The sequence below is a fragment of the Homo sapiens genome, chromosome 20, assembly GCF_000001405.40.
Source record: "Homo sapiens chromosome 20, GRCh38.p14 Primary Assembly".
Classification (NCBI taxonomy): domain Eukaryota; kingdom Metazoa; phylum Chordata; class Mammalia; order Primates; family Hominidae; genus Homo; species Homo sapiens.
The window spans coordinates 34624574-34641171 of NC_000020.11; the positions used below are offsets into that span (position 1 = coordinate 34624574).

The 16598-nt window shown below is 41.2% G+C and overlaps 1 protein-coding gene across 2 annotated transcripts in view; it reads right to left on the reverse strand.

Annotated features, from left to right (window-relative positions):
• PIGU (phosphatidylinositol glycan anchor biosynthesis class U) overlaps window positions 1–16598 on the reverse strand; it is a 116551-nt gene that overhangs the window by 64032 nt on the left and 35921 nt on the right. For both annotated transcript variants that reach the window (XM_017027664.2, NM_080476.5), the window contains exons 5-6: window positions 13303–13412; window positions 10042–10142 (exon numbers count right to left, since the gene is read on the reverse strand). In XM_017027664.2, the coding sequence (XP_016883153.1) occupies window positions 10042–10142; window positions 13303–13412 (211 nt within the window). The remainder of the gene's footprint in view (window positions 1–10041; window positions 10143–13302; window positions 13413–16598) is intronic.

The following is a 16598-nucleotide window of genomic DNA, read 5'->3' on the forward strand; positions in this document are numbered from 1 at the left end:
GACAAACACCAATGGTGAAAAAGCAGGACCATCTATTAGCATCTGTTTGTCTGTTTTCCTTTTTAAAGCCTAATGAAGACTACTTCCCAAGGAAGGAGTTTTTAATTAGCTCACTGAAAGGCAGAGTACACTTTGCCCAAGCAACAGCCTTCAAAGCGAAACTTAAGCTGCTCCACTAAACTAATATCAACCTGCCCAAAGACCTGTGTTCCCCAGCCAACACTACAATAAGGACATCACAATACAATGGCCCGAGGCTTGTCCTGGCCTGCATCTCTCAGAGTGTCCCAGGCAACCCTGGGCTGCCACAAAGGAAGCCAGGGGAAAGCAAGCAGCAAGAGTCAAGGGGACAAAGCAAACAAGGTCACTCCCTTCTGTGGTGTATCTGCTCCATGGAAGTCTGGGGAGCATTGCTAAGTTTACTTCCACTGCCCCTATCGTCTTATCAATCAAGTTAATTTAATTTCGTTTTTAATTATGTACTCACTGAAGAAACTTTGGAAAAAAAACATATGAGGCCGGGCGTGGTGGCTCACGCATGTAATCCCAGCACTTTGGGAGGCCAAGGCGGGTGGATCACCTGAGGTCAGGAGTACAAGACCAGCCTGACCAACATGGAGAAACCCCGTCTCTACTAAAAATGCAAAATTCGGATGTGGTGGCGCATGCCTGTAATCCCAGCTATTCGGGAAACTGAGGCAGGAGAATCACCTGAACCCGGGAGGCAGAGGTTGTGGTGAGCCGAGATTGTGCCATTGCACTCCAGCCTGGGGAACAAGAGCAAAACTCCATCTCAAAAAAAAAAAAAACAAAAAAAAAAAAACTACATATCTATACGAAAAGGAAATAAAACTCACCCATGAACTTAATCTACAGGAACAAGTATTATCCTTTTGGGATCTATTTTCTAACTATTTTTGTTGCTTTAACATAGTTGAGATTCATTAAAATGCTGGGCACAGTGGCTCACACCTGTAAGCCCAGCACTTTGGAAGGCTGAGGCAGGTGGATTGCTTGAGGCTTAGAGTTCAAGACTAGCCTGGACAACAGAGCAAGATATGGTCTTTACAAAAAACCTTTAAAATTCCGAGATTGCACCACTGCACTCCAGCCTGGACAACAGAACAAGACTCTGTCTCAAAAAAAAAAAAAAAGAAAGAAAGAAGGAAAAAAAGAAAGAAAAAAACCCAACTAGGCATGGTGGTGCATGCCTGTCGTCTCAGCTACATGGGAGGATGGGGTGGGAGGATCACTTGAGCCTAGGAGTGTGAAGTTACAGTGAGCTATGACTGTGCCACTGCACTTCAGCCTGAGTGGCCTGGGTGACAGAGTAAGACCCTGTCTCCAAAAAACAAAATTAGATTAAAAAAAATACATATATATAATATATATATATATATACACACATACACAATTTTACATTGTTTAAAAAAACATTTATTTTCATGTAGTTTAAAATTATATTTAAATATCATGTGCATAATATTCTACTACATGGGTAAACCATATTTTACTTAACCACTCCTCTCTAAAGTATTTTCTAATTTTTCCAGTGATTATAAATAATTCTGCGATTAATAACTTTGTACCATAAAGCTTTCTGTCTTTATTTCTGCATTACTTTAGGATAGGTTCTCAAAAGTAGAATAAAAATCAAAACTACAAACATTTTATCCCCAGGTGGATAGTGTTAGAAAAATAAATGAATAAAATTTTTTAAAACTCCAAACTTTTTTTTTTTTTTTTGAGACGGAGCTCCGCTTTTGTTGCCCAGGCTGGAGTGCAATGGCGTGATCTCGGCTCACTGCAACCTCCACCTCCCGGGTTCAAGCGATTCTCCTGCCTCAGCCTCCCGAGTAGTTGGGATTACAGGTGCCCACCACCACGCCCTGCTAATTTTTGTATTTTTAGTAGAGACAGGGTCTCACCATGTTGGCCAGGCTAGTCATGAACTCCTGACCTCGGGTGATCCACCTGCCTCGGCATCCCAAAGTGCTGGGAATTACAGGCGTGAGCCACCGCGCCTGGCCAAAAAAACTCCAAACATTTTAAGACTGCCCATGGTTGTACAAATTTATCAGCCAACTTCCATGTGGGAGAATATCTATTTGATAGAACATTTGCCAGAACTGAGAATTAGCTTCTAAAATCTTTACCAATTTCAGAGGCAAAAAACAAAAAAAGCTTTCAAAAGTTTTTAAATTTCAATTTGCCTTTTCTTTATTAATTATCCATGAGTTGAATATTTTTCCATAATTTTCAGTGATTTATATTCCTTTTCTTGTGAATTTTCTCAAATATTTTCTTTTTTAGGATAAAAAGTAAATTATTCCTTAATTTTATTAAATAATTTTATTAATATTATGTGGTAAAATGTGAACTGTAGAAATATAACTTGCAGAAGTTATAACTGAACTAACTATATTATATATACTGTTAGCAGAGATTACTAAAATACTCAAAGAGCTGGAGTGGTTCAGAGACCTAGCTAAAATAGAACTCTTCAAATATTTTAACAGATTAGAAATGTTGTTTGTGAGGGTCTCTATTTATAGTAGCAAATAATGGAAAACAAATGTCCAACAAAAGAGAAGCGCTGGGATCTCATAACAAATACGCAAGAGGAACTGAAGTGGACATGCAGCAGAGTGATGAAAGACTTCCTTTCCAATTTATAGGTTTGAATTTCTTTTATTCTTACCAAATGCTTAAACTACTTGCAAAATTAAATTTAAATTTAAAGGAAATGACAAATATGTGACCAATGTCAGACATGATTCATATGAAATAAGTGATAAAAGTAAAACAAAATTATGTATATAACATTACGAAAATGTCTATGAATTCATTAAACAAAAGTCTGGAGTGATATAAAATTTTTTTTGCTCTGTGGAACAAAAAAAAAACCATGGCTGTGAAAGAGATACATATAACTTACTTACATGTTTTTCTTCCCCAAACAAAAACCTTTTCGTTGACTTACAGGTCATAAAATATTTTTTTTTAATGGCATACTTTTACATTTTTACGAGCGACTCCTAGGAAAACAAATAAACATGCACCTTCTGAGGGCATGTCTTCAGTTTCTCTATCTTTGCACTCGGCTATTTTAAAGATGACATTTCCAAAGGCCAGTACTTGGTCCCTTCTGCCAGGCTGCTGCGTATATTGTTTATTTTAATGGACACCAGACACCTTGATAAATGACAACCTATCTGAACCTGACACTCTGGAAACAGGGATTAAGGCAGGGAGAGTTCACAGACAGCAGAGTATTTACTGTTAAGAGTTATTTCTGACAAAATGACCACCACGATCTTCAGAACAAGACAATTCAGGCTATGCAATATCTAGCCATTTTAAGTAATCCAATAATAAATTAAACTAATAGGCCTACAGAAAGACCACTCATAAGCATTCCAAGAGAAACAATCTCTTATAAAGACCTAAGGCATCCTCGGGTGCCACCCCAGAAAAGGTAGGCAAACTGTAAGTAAAAGGTTCTATGTACAACTTTTTACTCTTTACTTCCTGAGTACACAAACTATTTAACAATAGTGTACAAATATAAGGACTCTTACACGCTTCTTATGGGAGTATAAATGTGGCAATACATTCCAGAAATCTGACTGGGTGTGGTGGTTCATGCCTGTAATATCAGCACTCAAGGAGGTAGAGGTGGGAGGACAGCTTGAGCCCAGGAGTTCAAGACCAGCCTGGGCAACACAGTGAGACCCCATTATCCACAAAAAGGAAAAAAAATCAATAAATTAATTCCAGAAATTGTTAAAAAGTGGCAAATATTTCTATTTCTAGGACATTATAAGAAAATAACTAAATATGAGTGCAAAAATTGCTGTACATTAGAAAGTTAATTGTAATATTTAAACAGCTAAAAACTGGAAAATCACCTAAATATTTAATGATACATACATTGGTTAAAGAATTTCTATATTCATAAAATGAATATGCAGCCATTAAAAATGATAGACTAGAACTGGGCGCAGTGGCTCACACCTGTAACCCCAGCACTTTGGGAGGCCAAGGCAGGCAGATCACTTGAGGTCAGGAGTTCAAGACCAGCCTGACCAACATGGTGAAATCTTGTCTCTGCTAAAAATGCAAAAATTAGCCGGGCATGGTGGTGCGTGCCTGTAGTCCCAGCTACTTGAGAAGTTGAGGCACAAGAATCACTTGAACCCAGGAGGCAGAGGTTGCAATGAACTGAGATCATGTCACTGCACTCCAACCTGGGCGACAGAGCGAGACTGTCTCAAAAAACAAGATAGATCAGACATTTATTGATATATGTTATATGTAGTAGGTTGTATTATTGGCCCCAATTTCCCCCCACCATGTCCAGGCCCTTTGCTGTATAACTTTGCCGTGCCTTCCTGTTGTGAACAGGATGGAAATCTCCACCCCTGGGCTCAGCCATGTGTAACTTTTTTTTTTTTTTTTGAGATGGACTCTCGCTCTGTCGCCCAGGCTGGATTGCAGTGGCACAGTCTCAGCTCACTGAAACCTCTGCCTCCCAGGTTCAAGCAATTCTCTGCCTCAGCCTCCCAAGTAGCTAGGATTACGGGTGCCTGTCACCACGCCCAGCTAATTTTTGTATTTTTAGTAGAAATGAGGTTTCACCATCTTGGCTAGGCTAGTCTTGAACTTCTGACCTCATGACCTCATGATCCACCCACCTAAGCCTCCCAAAGTGCTGGGATTACAGGCGTGAGCCACCATGCCGGGCCATATGTTACATTTTGATCAATGGGATATTAGCACATGTGATGCAACCAGGAACTTAAAAAGTGCATGCCTGACTAGGCTTGCTCACTATTGTGCTTCTGCCATTGCTATGAAAAGAAAATACCTAAGTCTGTCCCCTGGCCCAAGAGGATGACAACCATGTGGAGCAGAGCCCAACCTAGATTAGCCAACTCCAGCCAGCCACTGACGTGAAAATGAAGCCCATGTAACCAGCCAACTGACAAGCCATGTCCAACCTAGATCAGCTGACTCCTTGCTGACTTACAGATGTATGATCTAAGTAAACACTTGTTGTTGTTTTAAGCTACTGAATTCTGGAATGGTTTATTAACATTTTTGTGGTACTAGCTAATTGATACAAGATTTAAAAGTCTGGAGGGAAAAATGTTGGAAAAATCTGGAAATATATAACCCAAATGCTTACAGAGGAACTTTTAGTTAAAAATAATAGATTGATCACATGTGTTTATCAACTCTCCCTCCAAAAATCTCATTAAAATGAAAACAAGAGATTAAAACCATATTAAATCACAAAGAAAATAAGGGGAGATTATAGCAAAACCAACTTTAACACAATAGTGAAAAAATACAAAGCAGGTGAGAGAAGAATAAATCACTTGGTGATGTGGAAGAAATTACAGCTCAGTGGCCTACAAAGAGGATTACTAATAAAAATCAGCCAACTCACCCCACAGAACTTCTGAGAAATTCAGCACTAGAGTGCATCAGGTGCTATGGGAGGTGGGGGTATGGCATAGAGAAAAAAATCAAGTTGAAAGTTTATATACAGACCACTGAGAACAACAGGTGTTACCCCAACTATGTGCAGCCAAATGACCATTCCCGCATAACCCATCCCTCTAACTTTCTACTCTACCTGCAGAAGACCTCAGTTCTGGAGAAAGCTAACTAAGGGCACAAGTCTAGGAACTACTTTGCACAGTAGTGGGCTGAGGAGAGGTGTGGGCTGAAAAGCAATGAGATTAAATAAAGTCTCCAGACTGAAACCAGCCACCTTCCCTGTTCCTGCTCTCACAACTCCAGCAGCTAGTCTTATGCACCCTCCACCCCACAAAAAAACCCTAACTCTGCTACCCCAGACAGGACTTCAGAGGATTCCTCTTTGGGAAAACTGAATAGTTGCAAAGGAAAATAAAACCTGCAGATGATGACATTTGTAAATGCCCCCGACCCAAAGAAAGAGGCCAGCCCACTGCCTGATTCCCTGTACAGTGAAAATGATCCACCAACAAGCCCTGCCCATGCACGGAGTCTCCAGTCAATATGTTAGTGCTTCATTTAAAATTTTTTTTTATTATTATTATTTTTTTTACAGATGGCTGTCACCCAAGCTGGAGTACAGTGGCACAATCATAGCTCACTGCAGCCTCAAACTCCTAGACTCAAGCAATCCTTCTGCCTCAGCCTCCTGAGTAGCTGGGACTATAGGCAAGTACCATCACACCGGGCTAAATTCCTTTTTTTGTAGAGACGAGGTCTCACTATGTTGTCCAGGCTGGTCTTGAACTCCTGGCCTCAAGCAATCCTCCCACCTCAGCCTCCCAAAATGCTGGGATTATGGGTGTGAGTCATTGTGCCAGGCCATGTCTCACTCTTAAATAGAAACAGCAAGGATTACCATACATATAAGAAAATCATATGGAAGAAATCCTCCCAAAACAAACAATTAAAAAAAAATACCAGGAAGACAAAGAGACTATGCTTGGAACAAATAGAAACTGAAAATATATATGTATAATCAGAGATGTAATAAAGGATACTGTGGTGATAAAATAAAAATAGGATGCCTCAAAGAAACAACCAGAGACCAGATAAAAATGTATAAAAATGTAATAAATAAAAGTTAAAACTCAATAGAGGAGCTGGAAGATAAAAACAAGGAAATGTCCCAGAAAAAGTAAGAGAAAGTAAGTAAAAATGATGGGAAAAACAATAGAAAATAAAATATGCATAACTTAATCAATCAAGAAAATCCAACATCCAATAAACATCCAAAACAAGAGGACAGAGAAAACAGAGGTAGAATTTGGAAAAGTTGTTCAGGAACACCCTCTAGAACTAAAGACACTAGTTTCCATATTGAAAGGGCCTACCAAGTGCTCAGCATAATGAATTTAAAAAGACGCATGTCCAGACATAGCATCATAAAATTTCAAAACGCTCAGGATAAAAAGAAGACACTTAATTTTTCTTCTCCTTTTTTTTTTTTTGAGACAGAGTCTTGCTCTGTTGCCCAGGTTGGAGTGCAGTGGCGCGATCTCGACTCACTGCAAGCTCCGCCTCCTGGGTTCATGCCATTCTCCTGCCTCAGCCTTCTGAGTAGCTGGGACTACAGGTGCCAGCCACCATGTCCGGCTAACCATATATATATATATATATATATATATATATATATATATATATATATATATATATATATATATATTTTTTTTTTTTTTTTTTTTTTTTTTTTTTTAGTAGAGACGGGGTTTCACCGTGTTTTCTTCTCCTTTTCTTGAGGCAGGGTCTTGCTCTGTTGCCCAGGCTACAGTGCAGTGTCACTATCTTGGCTCAATGTAGCCTTAACCTCCTGGGCTCAAGTGACCCTCCTGCCTCAGCCACCCAAGTAGCTAGGACTATAGGCACGTGCCACCACACCTGGCTAATTTTGCTTATTTTTTGTAAAGATGAGGTCTCACTACGTTGCCCAGGCTGGTCTCAAATTCCTAGGCTCAAGAGATCCTCCTGCTTCAGCCTCCCAAAGTGCTAGGATTACAGGCTTGAGCCACTGTGCCTGGCCAGAAGATATTAAATATTTCAGGAAAAAAAAACTGGGTTATATCCATGACCATAAAACTGCTCAATAGCTACCAAGATACTAGAAGACAATGAAGCAATGCCTTCAAAATTCTAAAGGAAAAGTTATTCGAGTCTAAAATTCTTAATCCTACCCAACTATTAATTTGGTGCTAAACCAGAACAAAGATATTTTTTAGACATGGAATAACTCAAAATATATATCTCATATACCCTTTTTTTTTTTTTTGAGACGGAGTCTCACTCTGTCGCCCATGCTGGAGTGCAGTGGCACAATCTTGGCTCACTGCAACCTCTGCCTCCCAGGTTCAAGCAATTCTCTGCCTCAGCCTCCCAAGTAGCTGGGATTACAGGTGCCCACCACCACGCCCAGCTAATTTTTTGTTTTTAGTAGAGATGGGGTTTCACCATCTTGACCAGGCTGGTCTTGAACTCCTGACCTCGTGATCTACCTGCCTTGGCCTCCCAAAGTGCTGGGATTACAGGTGTAAGCCACTGCGCCCAGCCTTCATACACCCTTTCTTAGACAACTACTGAGAAAGTACTTCAGAAAAACAGAAAAAAATCAATAAAAAAGAGAAGGAACTCCAGGAGAGGAGGGATACAGAACAGGAGATTTATGAAGTTAAGTTCCAGTATGACAGCTTTATACCAGGCCCAGAGAACAACCAGGACAGACTGGGGTAGGATAAAAGATGTGTGAGAAAAATCTCCAGAAAAACAATAAAACCTATAAACTATTTGATGTGTTTAAGTGTTGTTAAAAGAAAAAAAAAAAAAGAACATTGTTAGGTACTTGACAGATCTAGTGGAGCAACCAGGGAATAAAACAGTGATTGGCACCCACAAACTAAGCAAAAAACCAAACAAGCAATAAAAGACAATTATTAACCCCAGGAAAAATAAAAGGTAGTACATGGAAGAAAAAAGTAGTCATAGTTACTACTTTGCCCAGCAGTGGAATAACACACACAGTGTTGTAAAATATAGGTGCTGATACTGATTCAATAAAAACTATGATGTTGACCAGGTGTGGTGGTTCATGCTTATAGTCCTGGCACTTTGGGAGGCCAAGGAGGGTGGATCGCTTAAGTCCAGGAATTCGACAGCAGCCTGGGCAACATGGCAAAACCCTGTCTCTATAAAAAATACAAAAATTAGCCAGGCATGATGGAGGGTGCTTGTAGTCCTAGCTACTTAGGAGGCTGAAGTGGGAGGATCACCTGAGCTGGGGAGGTCAAGGCTTCCGTGAGCCATGACTGCCACTGCACTCTAGCCCTGAGTGACAGAGTGAGACCCCGTCTCAAAAACAAAACAAGAAAAAACAAAACAAATAAACAAGAAACCATGGTGTAACTACTACAGGAAAATCAGGCAAAGGGGAAAAGGGGATATTGGTACCAAAGAGCTAAATTTTTTTTTTTTTTTGAGATGGAGTCTTGCTCTGTCACCCAGGCTGGAATGCAGTGGCGAGATCTCGGCTCACTGCAACCTCCACCTACCTGGCTCAAACCATTCCCCTGCCTCAGCCTCCTGAGTAGCTGGGATTACAGGTGCACACCACCACACCCGGCTAATTTTTTTCCTATTTTTAGTAGCGATGGGGTTTCACCATGTTGGCAAGACTGGTCAAACTCCTGATCTCAGGCAATCCAACCGCCTTGGCCTCCAAGTGCTGGGATTATAGGAGTGAGCCACTGCACCTGGCCCCAAAGAGCTAAATCTTTATCACTGTCCATGATGGGAGTGCAACAAATAATGTCTAAAATTTATAATTCAGGAAATATAATATAAGGTCTTATTTAGAAATATGGAATACTAGCAAAAGCCAGAAAGTAGTTGCTTCAAAGAAGTTGAACTAGGGGTGGGAAGAAAGAGGAAGGCTGCTATTCTAATCATAAGCCTTTTAGAACCTTTTTTAATTTTTTTTAAGAGATAAGGTCTTACTCTGTCACCCAGGCTGGAGTGCAGTGGCATGATCACAGCTCACTGCAGCCTCAAACTTGCAAGCTCAAGCAATCCTCCTGCCTCAGCCTCCCAAGTAGTTGGGACTACAGGTACATGCCACTGTGCCAGGCTAATTTTTTTATGTTTTGCAGAGACAAGCTCTTGCTATGTTCCCCAGGCTGGTCTTAATCTTCTGGGCTCAAGTGATCTTCCTGCCTCAGCTTCCCAAAGTGCTGAGATTACAGGTATGAGCCACCACACCTGGCCTAGAACTTTTTTGTAAAGCTATGTTAACAGTCACTGTCTGAGAAGTTAAGTTTTCAAGATGTTTTAATTTTTTTCTCTTGCCATGACTACATTTTCTAAATAATCTTGTATTACTTGTGTAATTTTTAAAAATGTTTTTAAGTGTTGCATTAAAAAAAAAACAAAACAAAACCACAGCACAAGTGTTGCAAAATCTTGCATAAATCAGGGACTGACCTTTGTACTCTCCTTTCAGGGCCTTACCTTTTATCGTAGTCAAAATGAAGAAAGCAATGAGGGTGTTGTTGATGGCACAGGTAGACTTGGCAACACAAGACAAAATCGTGTAAGGATTTAAGAGATAGCTGGGGAAGAACAAACATATTTGGCATTAGTAATCCTGACCAAGGAGCCCTCGCCATTACAGCAAGGAAGTTCCAAGAGATTTATTAAAAGCTTACGCAAAGGAAGGCAGCTTCTCAGAAATGAGTTCCCCCAAATAAAAGAGAATAGAGTGGGGGTTGAGGCTGATAAGTAAAAGGTACTGAACATGGACTGCCTATTCTGTTCTATGGAGTATATGGAAAACTGTTGTATTTAATCATCACAGAGATCCTGTAACTCACAATAACATCATTCCAGTTTTGCAGATGAGGAAACATTTGCAGGTGACATTCAAGAAGCAGCTGAGTCTCAATGGTAAAGCGACTTGCCCAAAATCTCACAAACTAATAAATACATCCAAAATCAGGTCTTTCTAGCTCTATAAATGTTCATTTTACTATTTCAGATTTCAAAAAATGATAAAATTCTACCAATTCCCACAGAGCCACATATCTCAAGAATAGCTACATTTACCTCTGAGAACCAGGAAAGTACATTTTCCTCAGTCAGGCTCCTAAGCCCTGACACAGGTCATGCCAATCCAAGAGTTAAAGCAGCTTAGATGTAGCCTTCTTGGCAGTTAAACAGAATCCACTGAGCCAGACCCCAAGGACAGAATAAGTATCTACTGAGCTCAACAAGTCAAGTGTTACAGAACTTCAAAGGACATCTGGACCCTCACTAGGAAGGAGTTAATAAGCTGAAACACCTAGTGTTTTCCTGAGATGGGAAGGAATGAACTGAGAAAATGAATTCAAAATGTTTGTGAGTAGGGAAATCTTAGATAGTCATAACAAATTGTTTGTATTTATTTCTATCCTGCTTCCACAAAGGATTTGAGGCAGCTAAAATGAGAACAAGCCGGGAGCAGTGGCTCATGCCTGTAATCCCAGCACTTTGGGAGGCCGACACAGGCAGATCACCTGAGGTTGGGAGTTTGAGACCAGCCTGACCAACATGGAGAAACCCTGCCTCTACTAAAAATACAAAATTGGCCAGGCGTGGTGGCACATGCCTGTAATCCCAGCTACTCGGGAGCCTGAGGCAGGAGAATGGCTTGAACCCGGGAGGCTGAGGTTGCAGTGAACCGAGATGACGCCATTGCACTCCAGCCTGGGCAACAAGAGTGAAGCTCAGTCTCAAAAAAAAAAAAGAACAGATAATAAAAAATAGGCTGGGCATGGTGGCTCACTCACACCTGTAATCCCAGCACTTTGGGAGGCCAAGGTGGGTGGATCACTTGAGCTCGAGTTCGAGACCAGCCTAGCCAACATGGCGAGACTCTGTCTCTACTAAAAAAAAAACATAAAAAAACCCTTAGCCAGGCATGGTAGTACACACCTGTAGTCCCAGATACTTGGGAGGCTGAGGTGGGAGAATCACTTCAGTCCAGGAGGTAGAGGCTACAGTGAGCCGTGACTGTACCACTGTACTCCAGCCTGGGTGACAGAGTGAGACTCCATCTCAAAAAAACAAAGAACAGATAATAAAAAATAATAGCAAAGTACAAATAGAAATAAAGAATCGGCCAGGAGCAATAACTCATGCCTGTAATCCCAGCACTTTGGGAGGCCGAGGTGGGTGGATCATTTGAGGTCAGGAGTTCAAGACCAGCCTGGCCAACATGGTGAAACCCCGTCTCTGCTAAAAGTACAAAAAAATATCCAGGCGTGGTGGCGGGTACCTGTAGTCCCAGCTACTCGGGAGGCTGAGGCAGGAGAATTGCTTGAACCCAGGAGGTAGAGGTTGCAGTGAGCCGAGATTGCACCACTGCACTCCAGCCTGGGCAACAGAGCAAGACTCCGTCTCAAATAAATAAATAAATAATCAAGAGCAAGGAAAACATAAATAAAAGGAGACAGTAAAGGCAATGGAAGGACCACCAAATGGATATTCTACAGCACTATAGTAATCAGCTACAAATTCGGCTCTGAGTTTCCTGGCAGAGAAAGTGAAAAGGTAGACTAGTTACATAATTCTGGTTATCAGATAGGAAGAAACATGCCAGTGTCTCAGGAAGAGATGATGATTACTATTCACAAATAAAGACCTTAAATCCAATACCTCCCACGACTGTGAGATTAGCAGTTCTACAGCCAAAGGCCTAGAAATTGCTGGCGGTTTTTTTCAGCAATTACAGACAGGCTTGTTACATAATCTTTAAAGAAACAGCTGCTGCTATTACAAAGCTACCCCCAGGACACACATAAGTCCATAAGAGATTCATAAAGTTGCTAAATTTCTGGTTCTATTAAGGTAGATCCCACCAATATTTCTGAAATACATAGATTAGAACTGATAGTCCAAAACTATTTGGTGGGAAGAAAAAAAAGCCATTTCTAAATAGCAGGTGACGTTCAAGAAGCAGCTGCATAGACATCTAATAGGGAATAGGAAATCCACACACAAGGCAGAAGGTTGAGTAAACTAGTCTCACAAGGCCCCTTCTAATTCTGAAGTTCTAAGGGCGTGTTTTTCCACGAGGAAACTTGTTTGTCTTGTTTACTGTATATCCCTAGAAACTGGTATATTATTAATATTCAATGACTATTAGTGGATTGAATAATTATTCACATTTGCCTATCTCAGGAAGATAAATGGGAATAACCCAAAAGAGTACAACTTAATGGTAGCACTGGGTACACCCTAGAGAATTCTTTCATAGAGCCTCAGTAAGTTCCAGTCTTCCACATGGGTCACCCAGCTGGAATGCATCTGTTTGGCACTTCAGTTTTATAAGCTACAAATGGAGGACTATACTGTACACGAAACATAAGAGCTGCTTGAAATGGCAGCCACATAAAAACCAAACTTTTATTCAATCCATACATCACAATTGAAGAACTTTAGAAACACTGGTTATAAGTAGGCTGGAACCCAGATCAGCATGGAGTCAAAAAGCATTTGTGAAGGGTTTGATTGTACACAGCCCTGTGTGAGTCTTTGTCCCAAGAGAGACAGAATGGCTCTGTCTCTTTTGCTGGCCAGAACAACAGAGCCCAGTTGTGCAACAGAACTACAGCAAATACTTGATGACTAAGATTGCAAATCTCCAAAAATACAACAAACAACATGGGAAAGTCTCATCAGATTTTCCTCGCATTTGTTGGCACTAAGCCTGTTTTGTCAGGGAATACTTACAACAGGGCCACTTTCAAAGGGATGTAACGCATTTCCATAGGGGTCCGGATGAGTTCGGCCACATCTGGGGCATACTGGTCCAGTTCTAGGAGGAGTTTCTGCTTTTTAAACTAGAAAAAAAAAAAAAAGGAAAAGATAAAACACATGAAACAATTCACTTCCCATTGTTTTTATGCTGAAGACAAAAGTCCTTTCCATGGCCCACATGGCCCTGCCTGGTCTGGCCCTACCTCTCCAGGCTCATCTCACACTCGGCCCTCCCCATCCCCTTTCTGGGTTCCAGCACCATGAACATGCTGTGTCCCTCCTTTTCCCACACCTTTGCATTTGACCTGGAATAATTTCTTCTTCTCTTTCCCTAGTTAACTCCCACATGGTCCTTATATCTCAGTTAAATCATCATTTCCTTAGGAAGGCACACTTTCCCTCACCACCCCACACCCAGGTAAAATCCCCCTGTTATATATGTTCTTTCACATATGTTCACAGTTAGTAACTTTTTCACTTATTTATATGATTGACTAATGTCTGTCTCCCTCATTAGACTAAGAGTTCCATGAGGGCAGGGACCATGTTTATTTGCTTACCATGTATGCCTAACACCTGGCACAGTGGACAAACAATAAATATCTGTTGAATGGCTAAATGAATGACTTGCTGGCAAAGCAAAGTTCATAGCCATTTGAAGAGTTATCATCAGTGGCCTAAAGACTCCAAAGTTCCATCCATGAAGAAGTATTGTCAAGCAAGGTAGAATGATCCCAAATGTCACAGGATCTTGGGTTATGTTTTACTTCCACAGAGGAGGCGTAGAATGGCCATGATGATCAAGAGGAGGAAAGCTGGGTGTGGGTGGGCAGCTGGATAGTTAATAGGGAGTGGGATGGGGGTGGAAAGCTCTTGCCTTCCGCTGGTGTGTCCTAACAAGTTCATGGGTGTGTTCCAGAGTGAAAGAAAGGTAGGCAATCTTATAAGCAAACATGGGTCAGAATATAGATGAGAAAGCCTCTCAAACCAAAATCGGTGGCCCTGTTGATTTAATGATCAAAGAATCTCATTTAGACAATATAAAATCAATGCTGCTATCTATTAGAAAACAGTATTTCAGAGGAGCCAAGATAGCTGTGCTTAACTGTGAAGGATTAAAAATTTAATGATGTAAAAAGCAGATCACACTAGAAAATATACTGCATTGTGACATTTATATGAAGTTAAAAGCATGTAAAATAATACTATGTGTTGGGGGCCAGGCATGGTGGCTCATGCCTGTAATCCCAGCACTTTGGGAGGCCGAGGCAGGCAGATCACAAGGTCAGGAGATCGAGACCATCCTGGCTAACATGGTGAAACCCCGTCTCTACTAAAAATACAAAAAACTAGCTGGGCATGGTGGCGGGCACCTGTAGTCCCAGCTACTCGGGAGGCTGAGGCAGGAGAATGGCGTGAACCCGGGAGGCGGAGCTTGCAGTGAGCCGAGATTATACCACCGCACTCCAGCCTGGGCGACAGAGCAAGACTCCGTCTCAAAAAAAATAAAAAATAATACTATGTGTTATTTAGTAACATATATAATAAAAGTCAAGGCCATGTGTGTGGATGATAACCACTAGATTCAGAACAGTGGTACTGGGTAGGAGGAGAAATAGGGAGATGAAAGTATGAGAGAGAGAGAGAGAGCTGTAGGAGTAAATTTTTTTCAGCCCGAAAATAGGTTCAAAAGTATGTACTATGCTTTATCTATTTTTGCATGTCTTAGGTCTTTCAAAATTAAAAAAAAATTAACCAAAAAATATTTTTAGAAGACCATCTTTCAGTTTAAACTTGCACAGGTTTAGGTAGAGGCTTAATCTGAAAACCTGCAACAAACTTCAAAAACCTCCCTTTGATCATCTCTGTTCTTCTCACAGTTGGCAGAGTCCAAGTTAAGCGGTGGGAATTATCAGTAAGATTTATGGTGCCATTCACAGCTGGGGTTGTTTAATTAAAAGGACAAAATATAAACCAAGGTGCTTTTATCACAGAGAAGGGGGCTGGCTCAGCAATCAAGTGCTTAGTGAGGACAGCTGCAGCAGTGGTAGCAGGAAGGAGGCCTCACTAGCTAAGAGGTCTAGAGTTCTGCAGCAAAAACAAGGCCACCTGGAGTGGGTGAGATCCACAAAGAAGGCTGTGAGAAAGGAATAGAGTTCATCCAGGGGCAGCCAGACAGACAGGTGGGAATGCAGACCTCATTCCCCAGGCTGGAAGCCAGCCAGCAGGGCTGCACTGAGAGAAAGTGGCAACTACCCGGGATGTGTACATCCTGGGCAAAGGTGACACTGTGCCAGCAATGGAAGTACTTCCTTATAACCACAATCTTCTCAAATACTTTAAAACAGAAAGATCTTCTGAAAGGAGTCTCCAGGTGGGAAGGCACACAGATCAGCAATCCCCACATTCTCAGCTTTCTAGTCTCCCTCAATTTCAGCAGCACAGGCACTATTATGGCTCTCCTCATAGGCCCAATATCAGCTCTCCTAAGTGTAGACAAAATCCCTTTTAAAAATCCCTATTGCATCCAGCTAGAGACAGGAAAGTGGCTAAAATCAATGGAAATTTTTAAAATTATACACACATGTGCGCACGCGCACACACACACACACACACACACACACACACACACACCCCTTAAGAAAATATAAGTATAAAATGAAGTTAGGGTATATATTAAAATCTGATGATCAATATTTCTAGATACATTCATTAGTCTTGACAATGATAAGATTTAAAACAATGACAGGAGAGATTAAAAGTGATGTGAAGGGTAGTGACCTGGATATCTTACCTTTGTGATCACTAATCAGCTTGTAGACAGATGGTATGCTTTTCCATATGTAAGTTATATTAAAAAATCAAAATGTTTTAATTTTTAAAAATCTCCAGGGTAGAGTCTTCCTTTCCTTCCACCCACTCCTCTATACAGCCCTTTCCTTGTCCCTTGAAAGATAGGTTTTGCCAGGACATAATTCCCCTACTTCAAATAAAGGGCTTTATTTTCTTGGAGACAGAGTCTTGCTCTGTCACCAGGATGGAGTGCAGTGTTGCGATCTCAGCTCAATGCAACCTCCGCCTCCCGGGTTCAAGTGATTCTCTTGCCTCAGCCTCCCAAGTAGCTGGGATTACAGGCGCCCACCACCGCGCCCGGCTAATTTTTATATTTTTAGTAGAGACGGGCTTTCACCACGTTGAAACTCCTGACCAGGCTGGAGTTTCACCAGGCTGGTCTTGAACTCCTGACCTCGTGATCTGCCTGCCTCAGC